An 18992-nucleotide genomic window follows, 5' to 3' on the forward strand; every position below is an offset into this window, starting at 1 on the left:
GAGCCATTGCGCCCGGCCCTCTTCTCCCTGTTTTAGAGAGTAAGAAACTGAGGTTCACACAATCAAAGTGATTTGCCTAACGTCATACAACGAGCAAGAGGAGACCTGGGATTTGAACCTATGTTGGTCTGACTCCTGAGGGACAGGGAAATGGAAAAGGCTTATCCCGAGCCTGTGGGGTCAGGATAAGTGGTTGGTCCGGCTTCTAAGCAGATTTCTCTTTAGCCTTAGGAAGAATTTTTAACTAGAATTGGTGAGGCCCGGCGTGGTGGCTCACAGGTGGATCACACCTGTGATCCCAGCACTTTGGGAGGCCGAGGTGGGAGGATCACTTGAGTCCAGGAGTTCGAGGCCAACGTAGACAATAATTATCGAAAGAGTATGGGAGTTCTGGAGAGGTAATGAGATCCCCTTCACCAGGAGGTTTCCGATAGAGGACCATGGAGTGTCCTGGAGGGACATTCGGGAGCCCTGACACTACATCTCCCTCCTCAAACCCAAAGGGCAGAGGCATGTCCCTCCTATGAGACGCAGAACAAGTCGGGCCGCGTCCCCTTTTTCTAACTGGGAGCACTGCTGAGGGGGCGTCTGGGACTTCTTCATCTTCATCATCGCCCCTTCCCCATAGGGTACTGCAGGGGGCGGGGGGCGGGGCTTCGGCGGGGCGGGGCTGCAGGGCTCCCGCGGGCTGGCGGGGCGGCTTCGGCGTGCGGGGCGGGGCATCGGCGGGGCGGGGCTGCAGGGCTCCCGGGGACCGCCCGCCCGCCCCTCAGTCTGAGCCCAGAGAGCCGCGGGGACCATGGAGCCGGTGCCGCTGCAGGACTTCGTGCGCGCCTTGGACCCCGCCTCCCTCCCGCGCGTGCTGCGGGTCTGCTCGGGGGTCTACTTCGAGGGTGAGCGGGGGCTGGAACCCCTCCGAGCACTCCCTTGGTGTGGGGCGGGGGCAGAGACCCGGAGAAGACGTTAGCAATCCGGGGAAACTGCCCCTGGGTTCAAATCCCGACACTGCCACTGGCCAAGCTGTGTGATTTGGGGCCGCACTCAACCTCTTTGGACCTCGGCTTTTGCTTTCGTGGAACGGGGACCGCTGACCTGCCCCGCAGGGTAGTGATGAAAAGTCAGTGGGTTGAGGCGCGGGAGGTGGATGCAGCCGGGCCACTCCTAGGTGGCCCCGCGGTGCGCATGGGACAGAGCTCCGACCGCGCCGGGACGCAGCATTAGGCCGCTGGTGGTCGTGGCTGCGTCTTGATTCTGAAGTGCAGGGTCAGTCTTCCCGTCTGTGTCCTCCCACTCCTCCCCCGGCCCTCCTCTACACTGCCTTCCTTCAGTCCCTGCGTCCACCTTGGCCTTCTGTTTGACCATGGGCAGTACTTGATTTGATCAGCTCTTCAGTTCTCAGCTTAAATGGCGCTTCCTCCCGGAAGCCTTCCTGGCTCTCTGCTCCTTGCACGCCCCCGTACATCTGCCGTCTGCCCGCAGCGGCCTGGTTCACAGGGATGGGCACACAGCAGGCGCACAGTCACTAGTCATTGCCTGAAGGAGCAAGCGGTGAGGGAATAACAGACAGTGGAGGGCAGGGTAAGACAGCACAGTGGATGGGTGGCCAGTGCTGCTCTGTGGGCAGGGAGGACCCGTGGGCCACCGAGTAGGGGAGATGGAGGTGGAGGAGAGAGATGCTGTGTGGGGGTGCGGGTTCCTTCCTTAGAGAGCGAACTGAGGCTTGAAGGCCCTGCCCCATCCTGTTCCCTGGCTGCAGAAAAACGCTCTGTCGCAGCAGCTTCCAGCAGAGTGTTTGAGGTCCCAAGTGGGGTCCTAGACCAAGGAGGTCCCTCATGAAGGGTCCCGCAGGGGGCCACCACCTCGCAGTGGGTCTCTCCAGGTCTGCTTGGGAATCTGGCAGATCTGGGTTCAAATTCTGACTCTACCTCCAGGGGCTTTCTGCAGGAAGGCGCCTGGGATCTGTTTGCTCTTCCCCCAGCCCAGGACCAAGCGTCTTCGTCCTCCCAGCACCCTTTGCCTGCTGGTGTTACAACACCTGTTTCCTCATCCTGCCTGACGCGGGATGGTGGAAATGGTGGAAGTCAGAGTGATGGTGACTAGAGAAGGCCCTGACAGGGTGTGGGTGTGCGGATGGGGTGAGTGCGGAGGACAGATGGCCATGCCAATAGGGGCAGGCGTCTACAGGGCACTCAGAAGGGGCTGGCTGCGTGGTTGGTTAGGAGCACTGGCTCTGGAGGCAAACACCCTGGGTTCAACCTAGGTTTTTTTTTTTTTTTTTGAGACAGAGTCTGGCTCTGTTGCCCAGGCTGGAGTGCAGTGGCACGATACAGCTCACTGCGGCCTCGACCTCCTGGGCTCAAGTGATCCTCCCACCTCAGCTTCCTGAGAGGCTGGGACCACAGGCACGCACCAGGACAACGTCCAGCTAATTTTTGTATTTTTTGTAAAGATGGGGTTTTGTCATTTTGCCCAGGCCGGTCTCAAACCCCTGGACTCAAGTGATCTGCCTGCCTCGGCCTCCCAAAGTGTTAGGATTACAGGCATGAGCCACCACACCAGGCCCTGTTTTTTGTTTAATAGAACATAGGTTGTGTGTGATAGCTCATGCTTATAATCTCAACACTTTGGGAGGCTGAGGTGGGAAGATTGCTTGAGCCTAGGAGTTCGAGATCAGCCCTGGCAACATGGTGAGACATCATGTCTACAAAAAATTTTAAAATAAAAAATTGCAGGGTGTGGTGGCTCATGCTTGTAATCCCAGCACTTTGGGAGGCTGAGGCAGGAGGATCACTTGAACTCAGGGGTTCAAGACCAACCTGGGTAACATACTGAGACCGTGTCTCTACACAAAATAAAAAAATTAGTCAGGTGTGATGGTGCATGCCTGTAGTCTCAGCAACTCAGGAGGCTGAGGTGGGAGGATTGCTTGAGCCTGGGAGGTTGAGGTTGCAGTGAGCTATGATTGCACCACTGCACTCCAGTCTGGGCGACAGTGAGACTCTGTCTCGAAAAAAAGGACGAGGTCTGTGTTGCCCAGGCTGGTCTTGAATTCCTGTCCTCAAGCAGTCCTCCCACTTTAGCCTCCCAAAGTGTTGGGATTACAAGCGTGAGCCACCGCACCCAGCCATAACTTCCAGTTCTGCCTCCTATTACCTGATCATCATGTACAACCTACTCAGCCCCTGAGAGGCTGTTTCTTTTTCTTCTTCTTCTTTTTTTTTTTTGAGATGGAGTCTCCCTCTGTCACCCAGGCTGGAGTGCAGTAGCCTGATTTCAGCTCACTGCAACCTCCACCTCCTGGGTTCAAGCAATTCTCCTGCCTCAGCCTCCTGAGTAGCTGGGATTACAGGTGCCAACCTCCACACTGGGCTAATTTTTGTATTTTTAGTAGAGACGGGGTTTCACCATGTTGGCCAGGCTGATCTCGAACTCCTGATCTCAGGTGATCCCCCTGTCTTGGCCTCCCAAAGTGCTGGGATTACAGGCATGAGCCACCATTCCTGGCCAGCTGTTTCATTATTTAGGAAATTGAAACTGCCTGTCTCCGCAAGAGCAGTCATGGGTCTTAAACACAATGACGCATCAGTAGCCCTTGGCACAGTGCCGGGTATCTGTAGTACCACAGCTGCTGTTCTCACCAGTCTGGAAGGCCCATGCTCTGACATTGTAAACAGACTGTGGTTTATGACTGGTGGGCATTTTCCTGGCAGTACGTGGGGAGGTTTTCATCAGTTTCTCAGGGCTGATGTTGGAGCTGCCCTGTGGGTGGGGCTGGGTTCAGGTGGCCTCAAGGTCCTGCCACGTAGTCTGTTGTCCTCCATTAGCTGGATGGAGAGACTGTGCACTCGTGTGTGCGTGAGAGATCTTTATTGAGCAACTTCTGTGTTCTCGACACCACTTACACACTTTAATTAATTAATTTATTTTTATTTATTATTTTTTTTTTGAGACGGAGTCTCACTCTGTCACCCAGGCTGGAGTGAAGTGGCGTGATCTCGGCTCACTGCAAGCTCCGCCTCCCGGGTTCACGCCATTCTCCTGCCTCAGCCTCCCGAGTAGCTGGAACTACAGGTGCCCGCCACCATGCCTGGCTAATTTTTTTTGTATTTTTAGTAGAGTCGGGGTTTCCCTGTGTTAGCCAGGATGGTCTCGATCTCCTGATCTCGTGATCCACCCACCTTGGCCCCCCAAAGTGCTGGGATTACAGGCGTGAGCCACCGCGCCCAACCCTCACTTACACACTTTAAACCAGGAAAGCAGAACTTTGCCCATTGGGCCTCACTCTGTCAGTGCCCCTCTATTTTCCAGGGTGCTAGGAGGGCTGGGTACCGGCCCTGGCTCCGGGTGATCTCCAGGGAGCCACTGACCCCTCTCTGAGCCTGATTTTGTAGCTGTACACTAAGGGAATCCCAACTCCCTTAGTGTACAGCTACAAAATCAGGCTCAGAGAGGGGGATTCACTGGGTTATTTACTGATTTGTGGACTTACCACATACTCAGAGGCCAAGCCCTGTGCTGGCTGCAGTGATGTTGAGATGGATCAGCCCTGCCTGTGAACTCAGTGGAGGAGGCACGGGGATGTGAAAAAGGCCAGAGAAGTGTGCCACAGCGGGGTGCACCGATGCCAGGAGGGGCAAGGACAGCTGAGGACGACTGAACCTGTGGGCATGAGGCAGGAACGACAGAGCAGGGCATGCCAGGCAGCAGGCACCATGTGCAAAGGCATGGCAGAGCAGAGCTTGTTGGGCACCAGGGCACAGGCTGCCCAGCACTTGGCCCTTGTCCAATGGGGAAATGGAGTCCTTGTCTCCGCAGGCTCCATCTATGAGATCTCTGGGAATGAGTGCTGCCTCTCCACGGGGGACCTGATCAAGGTCACCCAGGTCCGCCTCCAGAAGGTGGTCTGTGAGAACCCGAAGACCAGCCAGACCATGGAGCTCGCCCCCAACTTCCAGGGTAAGGTGGGCACCTCTGCCTCCCCATGTGCCCTGGCACTCTCCTGGCACACCCGCAGGCTGCTCGTGGGCTTGCCACGTCCAGCAGTCACTCCCTCCCCTCGGGGTTTGCTCCCGAGGCCCTCACATTCACCACAACCCAGCCTCAAGGGTGGGGATGTCCTCAGAGGGTCGGCAATGCCCTGGACTCAGAGAGGTTGCACCCTCTCCCTCTCAGTCTCTGGTCACACCTGCCTCTGTTCCAAGCCCTGTCCAGGTGCCTGTCTCTGAGTTCACTCACACATTCACTCCCCAAACATCTGCAGACACCCATGTGTGCCAGGCTCCGTGTGGCGGGCTGTGGGTATGGGGGTCAGGATGAATCAGGTGCCACCCTCTCCAGTGGGGAGCTTCTGGGATGACAGTGAGAGGAGGCCAACAGTAAAAGGAGTCATAAGCTTTAGAGAGGGGTCTGAGCAACAGTAACCTGCCTCAGGATCTGTGAGGGCTTCTTGGAGGAGGTGGCATCTGAACCAGAAGAAAGATCCCAGCCACAGGGAGTAGCATGTGCACATTTGGTGCTCAGGAAACCCCAAGGAGCTCAATTCTTATTATTTTTTTTTATTTTTACTTTTTGGAGATGGAGTCTCGCTCTGTCACCCAAGCTGGAGTGCAGTGGCGTGATCTGGACTCACTGCAAGCTCTGCCTCCCGGGTTCCCACCATTCTACTGCCTCAGCCTCCCGAGTAGCTGGGACTACAGGCGCCCGCCACCACACCCAGCTAATTTTTTTTGTATTTTTAGTAGAGACAAAGTTTCACCGTGTTAACCAGGATGATCTCGATCTCCTGACCTCGTGATCTGCCCGCCTTGGCCTCCCAAAGTGCTGGGATTACAGGCATGAGCCACCATGCCCGGCCAGAGCTCAATTATTTTAAGAGGCATGTAGTGTGGTGGGCCATGGCCTGGACCCTGAAGCCAGTGGCCTGGAATTGAATCCCAGTGGCCTTGGGCAAGCTAGGCAGGTTCCTCTCTGGGCCTCTCTGGGACCTCCCTGGGCCTCAGTTTCCTCTTCTGTAATGAGGGCGATTAGGCTTGATATGAGGATGAAATGAGCTGATATGTATACAGCACTTAGAAGGGGGCCTGGGACAGGCTGGGTGCAGTGGCTGGTGGCTCATGCCTGTGATCCCAGCTCTTTGGGAGGCTGAGGCGGGTGGATCACCTGAGGTCAGGAGTTCAAGACCAGCCCGGCCAACATGGTGAAACCCCATCTCTGCTAAAAATACAAAAATTAGCTAGGGGTGGTGGGGGGCACCTGTAATCCCAGCTATTCAGGAGGCTGAGGCATGAGAATCACTTGAACCTGGGAGGTGGAGGTTGCAGCCTGTGCAATAGAGAGAGACTCTGTCTCTCAAAAAAAAAAAAAAAAAAAGTGGGGAGGGGGCACCTGGTACAAAGCAGGCACACTCTGAGGACTGGCTGTTATGTGACTGCCTGCCAGATGCGGGAAAGTGTGGCTTCCAGGTTAGGGGCAAGTTGTGTGGGGAGCCGCAGGAGCCACACCACCTGGGGGCTATGTGGTGTGCTGACACTGTTTGTTCTTTATTTCGAAGGCAATGAGGAGCCAGTGAGGGTTTTTTGTTTCATTTTTAGTAGAGACAGGGTCTTGCTATGTTCTCCAGCCTGGTCTCACTCAAACTCTTGGGTTCATGTGATCCTCCTGCCTCGGCCTCCCAAAGTGTTGGCATTACAGGCGTGAGCCAGTGTGCCCAGCCAAAAACGGCCTCAGGTTTCCTTTTTTCTTTCCCCCGTCAAGTGTTAAACATTTGTTACATGTGTTTCTCTCCCTCTCCATACATACACACACACGAATGTATTACTATATGTGTATATATGGATGTGTTTTTTCTGAACCATTTGAGAGTAAATTGCAGACATGTTCCCTTTTACATCTATATATTACCCCTAAATATTATAGTATCTCCCCAAAACAAGGACATTCATTCACATGGTTCAATGATCAAATTCAGGAAACTTAATTTTGGTACAGTACTACTGCCTAATCCATGGGCTGTATTTGAATTCCAGCAACTATCCTCATAATATGCTTTATAGCAGTTTTTCCCCTCAATCCAGAGTCCAGTCCTAGATCACACATCATATTCAGTTGTCCTGTTTCTTCATTCTCCTTCAGACTGGAACAGTTCCTCTGCCTTTGTCTTGACATTGACATTTTGAAGCATCTGGACCAGTACTTATGTAGAATATCCCTCAGTCCCAGCTTGTGCAGTGTTTCCTCGATTAGCTTCAGGTTGTGGGTTTGGGGCAGGAAAAGCTTGCTTCCCAAAAGCGGTATCATGTCTGGAAGCGAGGTATTTAGGCCAGCTGCTGGCGGAATGGGTGGGGGCTGGAGGGAGGGGGTGCAGGGACAGTCGGGCAGTCACTATTGGCAGCCAGGATGCAGGGGTAAAGTGGGTGGTCTGAGGTGGCTCTGGCCAGCAGCTCCTGGGATGTTCGTTTGGGAGAGAGGGACGGCAGGTTTTGGATGAGTGGGATCGGACCTGTGGAGAGGCATCTGGAGGAAAGGCTAAGATGGCAGTTAGAGGCAGGTAGGGTCAGGAGCTTGGAGAGTGTGGAAGTCTAGTGTGTCTGTCAGGGAATGTGTCCCTCTTCCATTCTCTGTGTCTCTGGTGACAAGTCTCTCTCGGTTCCTACTTCCTGTCTCTCCCTGTCCCTTCATGCACTGCCACTTTCTGCCCTGTGTCCCTCAGCCCTGCAGCCCAGATGTCCAGATGCAAATCTGTCATTGACACCTGTCCCTGGGGGATTCTGGCTGGGTCATCTGCAGGGCCAGACTGGGGTCTGGACCTGACAAAGGCCTGCCCCACCCTGACACCCCACAGTGACCTGCCTGCTCTCTGCTGTCCCCCACAGGCTACTTCACCCCCCTCAACACCCCACAGAGCTATGAAACCCTGGAGGAGCTGGTCTCTGCCACAACTCAGAGCTCCAAGCAGCTGCCCACTTGCTTCATGTCGACCCACAGGATTGTCACAGAGGGCAGGGTGGTGACTGAGGACCAGCTCCTCATGCTTGAGGCTGTGGTGATGCACCTCGGGATCCGCTCTGCCCGCTGTGTCCTGGGCATGGAGGGTCAGCAGGTCATCCTGCACCTGCCCCTATCCCAGAAGGGGCCCTTCTGGACATGGGAGCCTAGTGCCCCTCGAACTCTGCTCCAGGTCCTACAGGATCCAGCCCTGAAAGACCTCGTCCTCACCTGCCCCACCCTGCCCTGGCATTCCCTGATCCTGCGGCCCCAGTATGAGATCCAAGCCATCATGCACAGTGAGTTGCCTGGGCAGATGGATGCGCGCTGCTGGGGGAGAGAAAGAGGGTTGCCCCTGGGAGCTGCTCTGATGGAAGACACCCCCACCCCATCCCTGAGGATCAGCTGGAACTTCAGGTTGCTCCCTCTGTATTACACTGAAGTTATTCTTTTTTTTTGAGATGGAGTTTCGCTCTTGTTGCCCAAGCTGGAGTGCAATGGTGTGATCTTGGCTCACCCTCCAGAGTCAAGCGATTCTCCTGCCTCAGCCTCCCGAGTAGCTGGGATTACAGGCGTGCACCACCATGCCCGGCTAATTTTTTGTATTTTTAGTAGAAACGGAGTGTCACCATGTTAGCGAGGCAGGTCTTGAACTCCTGACCTCAGGTGGTCCACCCGCCTTGGCCTCCCAAAGTGCTGGGATTACAGGCGTGAGCCACCGTTCCTGGCCAGTTATTCTTATTGATGCTCAAATTATCTCGGCTACGCCAGGTGCAGTGGCTCACGCATGTAATACCAGCACTTTGGAGGATCGCTTGATCTCAGGTGTTCCAGACCAGACTAGGCAACATAGCAAGACCCCCATCTCTACAAAAATTTTTTTAAAAAATTAGCTAGGCTTAGTGCTTGTAGTAGCAGCTACTCTGGAGGCTGAGGCAGGAGGATCACTTGAGCCCAGGAGTTCAAGGTTGTAGTGAGCTATGATCACACCCTTGCACTCCAGCCTGGGCAACAGGGCGAGACCTCATCTCTCTCTTTTTTGAAGCAGAGTCTTGCTCTGTCACCCAGGCTGGAGTACAATGGTTGATCTCAGCTCACTGCAACCTCCATCTCCCAGGTTCAAGCGATTCTCTTGCCTCAGCCTCCCTAGTAGTTGGGATTATAGGCGCCCGCCACCATGCCCAGATAATTTTTTTGTATATTTAGTAGAGACAGGGTTTCGCCATATCGGCCAGGCTGGTCTGGAACTCCTGACCTCAGGTGATCTGCCCACCTCGGCCTCCCAGAGTGCTGGGATTACAGGCGTGAGCCACCGAGCACAGCCTAAAAATAATAATTTTAAAATTTATTTTTCTTTTTTCTTAATACTTGGAGGAAAAAAAATAAAAATAGTAATTTTTTTAAGAAGGTTGGGGCCAAGCACAGTGGCTCACGCCTGTAATCCTAGAACTTTGGGAGGCCGAGGCAGGTGGATCACGAGGTCAGGAGATCAAGACCATCCTGGCTAACATGGTGAAACCCCGTCTCTACTAAAAATACAAAAAAATTAGCCGGGTGTGGTGGCGGGCACCTGTAGTCCCAGCTACTTGGGAGGCTGAGGCAGGAGAATGGCGTGAACCCAGGGGCTAGAGCTTGCAGTGAGCCAAGATCGCACCACTGCACTCCAGCCTGAGCGACAAGAGCGAGACTCCATCTCAAAAAAAAAAAGAAGGTTGAAGGGAAAGCATGTGTGGGAATGTGGCGTAGTGTAAATTGGAAGATTCTGATTGGAAAGAAAAGATGGCAGCGGGGGCCGGGCGTGGTGGCTCATGCCTGTAATCCCAGCACTTTGGGAGGCCAAGGTGGGAGGATCACCTGAGGACAGGAGTTCGAGACCAGCCTGGCCAACATGGTGAAACCCCATCTCTACTAAAACTACAAAAATTAGCTGGGCATGGTGGCGGGCGCCTGTAATCCCAGCTACTCGGGAGGCTGAGGTGGAAGAACTGCTTGAATCTGGGAGGTGGAGGTTGCAGTGAGCCGAGACTGTGCCATTGCATTCCAGCCTGTGCGACAAGGGCACTCCATCTCGAGTGAAACTCCATCTCAAAAAAAAAAAAAGAAAGAAAAGACAGCAGCGGGAGGGAGGCCAGCCGGCCCAGCCAATGCTCTATGCCTGGGGTGGGGGCCACTCCTGGGGTGGCATGCAGTGCCACTGAGCTGCCCCTCTCCACAGTGCGCAGGACCATTGTCAAGATCCCTTCTACCCTGGAGGTCGACGTGGAGGACGTCACCGCCTCCTCCCGGCACGTCCACTTTATCAAACCGCTGCTGCTGAGCGAGGTCCTGGCCTGGGAAGGCCCTTTCCCCCTGTCCATGGAGATCCTGGAGGTTCCTGAGGGCCGCCCCATCTTCCTCAGCCCGTGGGTGGGCTCCTTGCAAAAAGGCCAGAGGCTTTGCGTCTATGGCCTAGCCTCACCACCCTGGCGGGTCCTGGCCTCAAGCAAGGGCCGCAAGGTGCCCAGGCACTTCCTGGTGTCAGGGGGCTACCAAGGCAAGCTGCGGCGGCGGCCAAGGGAGTTCCCCACGGCCTATGACCTCCTAGGTGCTTTCCAGCCAGGCCGGCCACTCCGGGTGGTGGCCACAAAGGACTGTGAGGGCGAGAGGGAGGAGAATCCCGAGTTCACGTCCCTGGCTGTGGGTGACCGGCTGGAGGTGCTGGGGCCTGGCCAGGCCCATGGGGCCCAGGGCAGTGACGTGGATGTCTTGGTTTGTCAGCGGCTGAGTGACCAGGCTGGGGAGGATGAGGAGGAAGAGTGCAAAGAGGAGGCAGAGAGCCCAGAGCGGGTCCTGCTGCCCTTCCACTTCCCTGGCAGTTTCGTGGAGGAGATGAGTGACAGCCGGCGCTACAGCCTGGCAGATCTGACTGCCCAGTTTTCACTGCCTTGTGAGGTCAAGGTGGTGGCCAAGGACACCAGCCACCCCACTGACCCTCTGACCTCCTTCCTGGGCCTGCGGCTGGAGGAGAAGATCACAGAGCCATTCTTGGTGGTGAGCCTAGACTCTGAGCCTGGGATGTGCTTTGAGATCCCTCCCCGGTGGCTGGACCTGACTGTTGTGAAGGCCAAGGGGCAGCCAGACTTGCCAGAGGGGTCTCTCCCCATAGCCACAGTGGAGGAGCTGACAGACACCTTCTATTATCGTCTTCGGAAGTTACCAGCCTGTGAGATCCAAGCCCCCCCACCCAGGCCCCCTAAAAATCAGGGCCTCAGCAAGCAGAGGAGACACAGCAGTGAGGGAGGCGTCAAGGTACTAGTATAATCCCAGAGGGCACGGAGGGGTCACCTATTGGGATCACTGCTTCTTTGTCATGTCTGCCTGTCATGTTTCTCTTGCAACTGTGTAAACTTGTAGTTTATAAACTTGCACACTTTGCACCCATTATTCTCATTCCACCTCACAATTAATCCTGAGGTTGGCATGATTATCAGTATCTTATGATTGAGAAAACAAGGACTTGGAGACCCTAAGACTTGCCCAGGGTCCCTGTTAATAAGTGGGAGGACTGAACTTGGCCATGGACAGTCTAACTCCAAGTTCATGGTGCTTTCCTCTCTCCACTACTGCTGCCTTCACTCCCTAGTTCGAGCCTCATCATTTTTCTCCTAAACTACTTCAGCAGGCTCTTACAAAAGCTGTCAGAAAGGCCTCCTAACTCCTTTCTTAGTCATTGATGGACCTCAGCTCCATCTTCTGGAACCTTCTGTGGCTGCCCATCATCATGGGATGATGCAAACCCCTTAACATGGCATCCAGGGTCCTTTATAAGCTGACTTGTCGCACCTCCCCGACCCATCTTCCTCCACTCACTCTGCTGTCCACGCTCCAGCGAGAGAAATGCCCGCAGCTCCCTCATGGCGCCGGGACTCCTGCTCCAGAGCCCCACACCCAGGCCTTCTGCCAGCAGTGTTCTTCCTCCTTCAGGCTCACAGGCAAGGTGGGACTCGGATTTCTCACTCAGCAGCGGTGGTCCTGCCTCCTCTTCTGTGCTCCCACTGCACGCTCTACGTAGCTCAGGACAGGTTGTTTTTAGTGAGTCCTACCTGAGTCTCTGGCTGAAAAGAGTTCTGTCGGGGCAGGGACCTTACCTGCTCCAAGGCCAGAGAGGACCTGCTAAACGGGGCCAAACAGAATCACAGATGAGCGGGAGAGAGCCAGGCATGGGGTCAGAAAGACTAAGTTTACGTTCCGGTTCACTTACTCTGCCTGTGCTGGGTACTCCTCCGAGCGTCCTTTTTCTCACCAGTAGACCTGTGATATCCTCTGCAGCTGCTTTCTGTGACCTGCTTACTCTGTGGCAGGCCCCTGATATGCTTTGTCCCAACCAATTCTCACAGTGCTTCTGAGTTACACACCGGTGTCCTGCTTCACAGTTGAGAAGGTGAGAGGCACAGAGAGGTCAAATAGTTTACCTGAGATCACACAGCCAACAAGTGGCAGGGCCAGAGCTTGCAATTGGGTCTGACCACACAGCCTGAGCTTCTAACTACCGTGGTCTGCTGAGAACGGGAGGGGATGAGACAGATCAAAAGTCCTTTACTATCCCCAGCTCTTGTTTTGGGATCTTGGGTGACTCGTATTTAATCACGTGTGGTAGGCAGCAGGTGGCAGTGGAAATTACAAGATGACTCCTGAGTGGTCTCAGCCCCAGCAGGGGCTTTTATCTGTGGCGTGAGCGTGGGAAGTCATTTTCTGACAATGGCTGGACTGAAACATCCGAAACACAGGCCTTGTGCCAGTGCTGAAAAGGGTACTTTCCAGAACCGACAGACCTTAGCCCGTGTCTTGGCTCCCAGTGGAGGGACTCTGGGCCCGGTCACTGCTGTCGCCCTGGAACCACAACTTTTCCCCTCTGTGCGTTGGAATCTTGGTGCTGATCAGGGAGCTGTGCCGCACACTCTGTAAAGCGTGGTGGGGCGCCAAGACCTCTGCCTCTACAGGTCACAGGCGTGGCTCTGGGTCCAAACCTTGGCCCTGCTGTGGATCCCCGTGTGACCTTTGACAAGGCACACTTTCTCTCCTACATAAACTGGGAATTGAAACCACTCAGAGGGTAACTTGAGGATTAAAGAGCAGACGTCATGTAGCATCTGGCACATGGGGGAACGCAATGGAAGTCCTCTTTCTTCTGGGCCACCTCAGCTCAGGCGTCGTCACAAGGCTTTGTGGCTCCTTTCTTACGGTATCCCCACTTTGCTTTTTTCCCCTTCAGCAAGAGAATTAAAGGACATTGACCAAATTCCTAAGTGGAAAATCCCAGGAACACCCTGTCTCCAACCCCCAACCCTATCCTCATTTTCTACCCTGATCCCTTTCTCCCTTGCCAGAGAATATTTCACATGCATGTAGCAAAAACACCAGGGGTCTTGAGAGGTCATAGCCTGAAAAGGAAGTAGAGAGAGAAGCAGAGGAAGTGACACTTAACGTGAATGACCGTTTTTCATGGACTCTGCTTCCCCATTTCTTGAGACCCTGATGATTTCTGCTTTTTCTCCCAAAGTCTTCTCAAGTCTTAGGATTGCAGCAACACGCTCGGCTGCCCAAACCCAAGGCGAAGACCTTGCCAGAGTTCATCAAGGATGGCTCCAGTACGTACAGCAAGATTCCTGCCCACAGGAAGGGCCACAGGCCCGCTAAGCCCCAAAGGCAGGATCTAGGTGAGTCCCTGTGGGCGCTGCTCACCCTTGTCCTTGTGTCTCCCCTCCCTACCTTGCTGCTTCCTTTGCCTCTGGTGGCCCTGTCCAGGGACAGACCCTTCTATGGTCCCAGTTTGATGGACAGGCCTCTATGGGGTGGGCTCAGGTAGAAAGGTTCCTACTGTCTTTCCCATGGGCTCTAGGGCTTTGGCAAGGAAAATGAGTTCAGTCCCCAACATACTACCCTCCCTGCAGCATACAGGAAAATGAAAGGGTTGCAAAGTGTTGAGACAGAACAAATCGTGGTTTCTAGGCTAGCAAAGACCGTAGGGCATCCAGGCCACCTCTTTCCCTGCACAGATGAGGAAACTGCCCTACAGAAGGGAAGGAACTTGCCTAACGCTAAAGATCCTCATTGACTCGGACTCTTTTGCAGATGATGATGAACATGATTATGAAGAAATACTTGAGCAATTTCAGAAAACCATCTAAGTGCTGGAGGAACCACGCTTCCTAACTGCTGCTTCTCAGGGAATCCGACACCAGCCAACCATTTTAAGCCTCTAAAAGACCTCGGGCAAGTCTCACAGAAACTGAGCTGCAGACGGGGAGTAGCTTTGTGGAAACTGATTTGATGGACACTGCACCAGCTTCCTTCAGGTTCTAGATTCTTGCTACTTAGGGCGGGCTGGTTTGGACCTAACATCTCGCACGTGACTCCCTCAGCCTCAGAGCCTTGGGATGCAGAGCAGCTGGCAGGGTTCCTCTCAATCCTGCAACCCCAGCTGTCCCACCGGTGGATGCAGAGGGGAATCCGAGGCCATCAACCTTGGTGACAGCAGCGCAGTGCCAATGCTGATCACACTGCATGGGAGATTTTGTTAACGTCTGCCACCCCCACTCTCACCCCCAAGCTCTAAGCCCCCGGGAGGCCTGGACTGTCTTCCTCATCTCTGTAGCACCAAGCCTGATAGATCTGTATATGGTAAACAGGGGTTTAACCACATGTGGTTAACATGGATTAATGTGGGAACTTGGCTTCAAGAACACAACCTTAGGACCTTGGGCCCCAAAAGCTGGTGGTGAAATGAGGAGGAGCCAATTTAAGAAGACCCTTATGGAGACCTGAGGCTGCAGAAACTGGTAGGTTTCATCAGGTGGTTAAAGTCGTCAAAGTTGTAAGTGACTAACCAAGATTATTTCATTTTAAAACCATAGAATAAAAATGACACCTGAGCTTCTCTATGAATGAGAACGGTATCATTTATTAAATTCTGACTGCGTGCCAGGCACTTACAAACCATATCCAAATCCTCAACTTTCCAGAATGCCTGATTTTAAAGATTAGGGAACAGGCTGCATGGTCAAGTACCTTAGGACGCTGACAAGTTGCAGTTAAGGGTGAGGACCTGGAAAGTATGAGACTGGGTTAGGATCCCAGCTTGCTACCTACCAGCCAGGGCTATGAGCAAGTTATTTTAACCTAAGTTTCAGTTTTTTGACATGTCAGATGAAACTATAGTTACTACCCCAGAAGACTGACTGTTTTAAGGATCAAATGAGATAATCTTTGTAAACCATTTAGTACAGTGCCTAGCACATAGTAAACATTCAACAAACATGCATCATTATTGAGCAAGATCGTGTAGCTGTTCTGTCTCCAAAGCCTATACTCTTTCCACCCCTCCACAATGTTTCCTAGTCACGGAATACATCCCAGTGTTAAAAATATACCATATCCCTAGACTGTGGAGATAGAGTATACTGACTGGTTGGTGGGCCTCCCTGTCTTTAGTGGAGATAATACAAGCCTTTGTCCGTGCAGAGACTAACCCAGTTTTCAGAGGCAGTCAAGGCCCGTTCAGTGAGACAAGACCACAGGCCACATTTCCTCTAAGTAGTGGGACTTTGGTTTATGGACTGATGCGGTCACAGACAGCAAAGGCAGGAAACAGACAAAGAGATGAACTGAGACTCCAGCTGAGATGGGAGCCTAAAGAGGGTGAGATGCCCACTTCCTGGTTTCTAGGCATCGCCCCTGGGTGTGTCCTTCCTTTGCTTAACATCTCCCTGGGCTGCCTGGACTCGCTGCACTTTTTAGCCTCCAGGCCTCCATACTCCAGCATGGAGTTCTCCAGGTGACTACTGAGTGGCTCCTACAGGCTGCTGGGCCAGTCACCAGGATCTGACATCCCATCCTCATCTGCCCACCAGCTCCCATGCCCTTCTCCAGAGAAGTCAACCTGCGCTGCAAAGGAGGACCCTGAGGAAGAGAGTACCATAGGGAGAAGCAACAGGCAAGAAAGTCAGACAGAAAGTTCCTCCTTGGCACAGAATCCGGAGGGGCTAGGGTGATGCACAAAATGCCAATAGTTTTCATTTCCACATTTGCATTTACTCTTGGCACAAAATTGAGCAAGATGAGTAACAAAGCCACAAAAGCAGGGGTAAAAGAGGGCTACCAGTTCCTATAAAATGGGCTGAGTAGGCCAGGTGCAGTGGCTCACACCTATAATCTCAGCACTTTGGGAGGCCGAGGCAGGTGGATCATGAGGTCAAGAGATCAAGATCATCCTGGCCAACATGGAGAAACACCATCTCTACTAAAAATACAAAAAAATTAGCTGGGCGTGGTGGCATGTGCCTGTACTCCCAGCTACTTAGGGGGCTGAGGCAGAAGAATCGCTTGAACCCGGGAGGTGGAAGTTGCAGTGAGCCAGGATCGCGCCACTGCACTCCAGCCTGGCGAAAGAGTGAGACTCCGTCTCAAAAAAAAAAAAAAAAAGAAAAAAAAAAAAGGGCTGAGTAGCCAAATGCTGCAGTGAGAAAAATTTCACAGCAGCGAACGCTGGGCTTGAAAGCCACACCTGTGACTGTTTTCTCTTGTTTGTTGAGATGAAGTCTCTCTCTGTGGCCCAGGCTGCAGTGCAGTGGCACCATCTCGGCTCACTGCAACCTCCGCCTCCCAGGTTCAAGTGATTCTCAGACTTCCAAGTAGCTGGGACTACAGGTGTGTACCATACCCAGTTAATTTTTGTATTTTAGTAGAGACGGGGTTTCACCATGTTGGCCAGGCTGGTTTCTTTTTTTTTTTTTTTTTTTTTTTTGAGATGGAGTTTTGAGCCCAGGCTGGAGTGCAATGGCACGATCTCGGCTCACCGCAACCTCCGCCTCCCAGGTTCAAGCGATTCTCCTGCCTCATCCTCCCGAGTAGCTGGGATTACAGGCATGAGCCACCATGCCGGGCTGATTTTGTATTTTTAGTAGACATGGGGTTTCTCTATGTTCGTCAGGCTGGTCTTGAACTCCTGACCTCAGGTGATCCTCCCACCTCAGCCTCCCAAAGTGCTGGGATTACAGGAGCCACCACGCCCGGTCAGCCAGGCTGGTTTCTAACTCCTGACATCAGGTGATCCACCCGCCTCAGCCTTCCAAAGTGCTGAGATTACAGGCGTGAGCCACTGGGTCTGGCCGTTTCGTCAGAACAATGAGGATTAGCAGGGATCCAACTAGAGGTAGATACCAGCCTCAGAGTGCATTTATTTTCTTTACCCCTGGAATAAGCCACAGGGTGGTGGGGTGTTATAATGGGACTAGGGATTCCCCCTAGGCAGTGGTCTCCAAAGTGGGGAGCACACAGCCCTAGGGAAACACAAGATGATCACTGGGAGACAGAAAGTAATTTTTAGCACATCCCTTCACATTTTTTAATTTATTTAGAGATGGCACGTCTTGTTATGTTGCCCAGGCTGGTCTCAAACTCCTGGCCTCAAGTGATCCTCCTACTTTGGCCTCTCAAAGTACTGGGATTATAGGTGTGAGCCACTGTGCCTGGCCCCATATTGATTTTTAATATTCTTTCTCATTTCTACCTTTGAATGATTATATTTAACATACCAATACAGTAGTAGACATAAATAATTGCTAAACAAATGACTATAACCTGGAGATGGATGCTCAAAAACTTATCAATGGGTTGGACTTCCCTTCCGCCAACTGCATTTTTAAAAACAAATCTATTAATCCACACCAGATACTAATTCTTAGTGGCCTTCCTCTAGTTAAACCCAATAAAGTAGTACTATTCTCCAAGGAGCCTCATTTCCCACCTGTATATGTAGGGATTCTCCTATGAGCAGGCTGGACCCATTGCTAGGCCGTGACACTGGTGGTTTCTAAGAACCTGGGTCACACGGCTATCTCAACAATGGGCCAAGAGAACACTGTACATGTGACCTATCAGGTGGACCACAAATGCCCAAGATGCAAGTTTGTCCTGCCTGAGCAGAGCAGAAGCTCTACAAAGCCTGGAGTTTCATTCTGAGAAGTGGCCTGGCTGGCTCTCCTGCCTGTGCTCATCCCACAGGTCCCAGCAGCGGTCAGAAATCACACAACCCCCATGAGACTGTGGAAATGGCAAGATGGCAGGGAATCCAGCACCACTGAGCAACTATTCTGTGCTGCTGGGAATGCTGAACCAGCCTGTCCCGTGACGCCAATCTCTTATTGTGCTTTATATTCCTAGTACCTGACCTACGGGTTGATACAGCAGGTATCCAATAAGCACTAAATTAACAAGCAGTTGTTAATTGCTAAGTCGTCATCTGATTTTTATCAAAAGAAAAAAAAACCGGTCAGGCTCACGCCTATAATCCCAGCACCTTGGGAGGCCAAGGTGGGCGGATCATGAGGTCAGGAGATCGAGACCATCCTGGCTAACACGGTGAAACCCTGTCTCTACTAAAAATACAAAAATTAGCTGGGTATGGTGGCATGCGCCTATAGTCCCAGCTACTCGGGAGACTGAGGCAGGAGAATCACTTGAACATGGGAGGCGGAGCTTGCAGTGAGCTGAGATTGCACCACTGCACTCCAGCCTGGGCAACACAGCAAGGCTCTGTCTAAAAAAAAATAAAAATAAAAATAAAGAAAAAAGAAAACCACTTCCACCTACAAGTACTGCTACCGCTTTGCCCATTTGAGGGCACCCAGCTTCATAACTAGAAAGAGAAGTTTACCAACCATAAAAGTATCCCGTCATATATTCCAAATTCAAATACACGATTTTACTTGTTTTTAGTCATTGTTCTTTGAGAAAATAACCAAGAAGGAACACACTTGCAAATGAACATGCTGGCTGAGTTTTACACATTTGCATAGTTCCGCAGATGTTAACAACTCTGCATGTATAGAAAACAACCATACATTCATCCACTGTTAGAAACCAAGTAGGTGGAGCCTTCTCTACACAGCTGCTAGATCTCATTTAGAAACAGAGTTAAAGCAGAGAATTCTTTTTTTTGAGACAGAGTCTCGCTCTGTTGCCCAGGCTGG

At 52.7% G+C, this 18992-nt stretch overlaps 1 protein-coding gene across 9 annotated transcripts, besides 5 other annotated features; it reads left to right on the plus strand.

Annotated features, from left to right (window-relative positions):
- Positions 620 to 889: a silencer, noted in NCBI's record as "silent region_531". NCBI's record gives its function as "represses an Ori minimal core promoter by ATAC-STARR-seq in GM12878 lymphoblastoid cells {active_cell/tissue: GM12878}" and the evidence as "EXISTENCE:reporter gene assay evidence [ECO:0000049][PMID:35858748]".
- On the plus strand, positions 772 to 14903 carry THEMIS2 (thymocyte selection associated family member 2). Of its 9 annotated transcripts, none has more exons than NM_001286113.2 (7): positions 772 to 893; positions 4816 to 4956; positions 7872 to 8282; positions 10199 to 10353; positions 10741 to 11271; positions 13523 to 13679; positions 14095 to 14903. In NM_001286113.2, exons 1-7 carry the CDS (start codon positions 800 to 802, stop codon positions 14148 to 14150), a joined length of 1545 nt encoding a protein of 514 aa, NP_001273042.1. In that variant the 5' UTR covers positions 772 to 799; the 3' UTR covers positions 14151 to 14903. The 9 variants fall into 9 exon arrangements, with proteins under 9 accessions (NP_001273042.1, XP_006711113.1, NP_001099026.1 ...); XM_006711050.2 differs by having other exon boundaries at positions 10199 to 10305; NM_001105556.3 differs by having other exon boundaries at positions 10199 to 11271.
- Positions 7866 to 8366: an enhancer, noted in NCBI's record as "H3K4me1 hESC enhancer chr1:28206149-28206649 (GRCh37/hg19 assembly coordinates)". NCBI's record gives its function as "activates a minimal SCP1, AML or CMV promoter by ChIP-STARR-seq in primed H9 embryonic stem cells {active_cell/tissue: H9 hESC(primed)}" and the evidence as "EXISTENCE:reporter gene assay evidence [ECO:0000049][PMID:30033119]".
- Positions 10653 to 10762: an enhancer, noted in NCBI's record as "active region_576". NCBI's record gives its function as "activates an Ori minimal core promoter by ATAC-STARR-seq in GM12878 lymphoblastoid cells {active_cell/tissue: GM12878}" and the evidence as "EXISTENCE:reporter gene assay evidence [ECO:0000049][PMID:35858748]".
- Positions 11823 to 11872: an enhancer, noted in NCBI's record as "active region_577". NCBI's record gives its function as "activates an Ori minimal core promoter by ATAC-STARR-seq in GM12878 lymphoblastoid cells {active_cell/tissue: GM12878}" and the evidence as "EXISTENCE:reporter gene assay evidence [ECO:0000049][PMID:35858748]".
- Positions 13073 to 13122: an enhancer, noted in NCBI's record as "active region_578". NCBI's record gives its function as "activates an Ori minimal core promoter by ATAC-STARR-seq in GM12878 lymphoblastoid cells {active_cell/tissue: GM12878}" and the evidence as "EXISTENCE:reporter gene assay evidence [ECO:0000049][PMID:35858748]".

The sequence above is a fragment of the Homo sapiens genome, chromosome 1, assembly GCF_000001405.40.
Source record: "Homo sapiens chromosome 1, GRCh38.p14 Primary Assembly".
Lineage (NCBI taxonomy): Eukaryota > Metazoa > Chordata > Mammalia > Primates > Hominidae > Homo > Homo sapiens.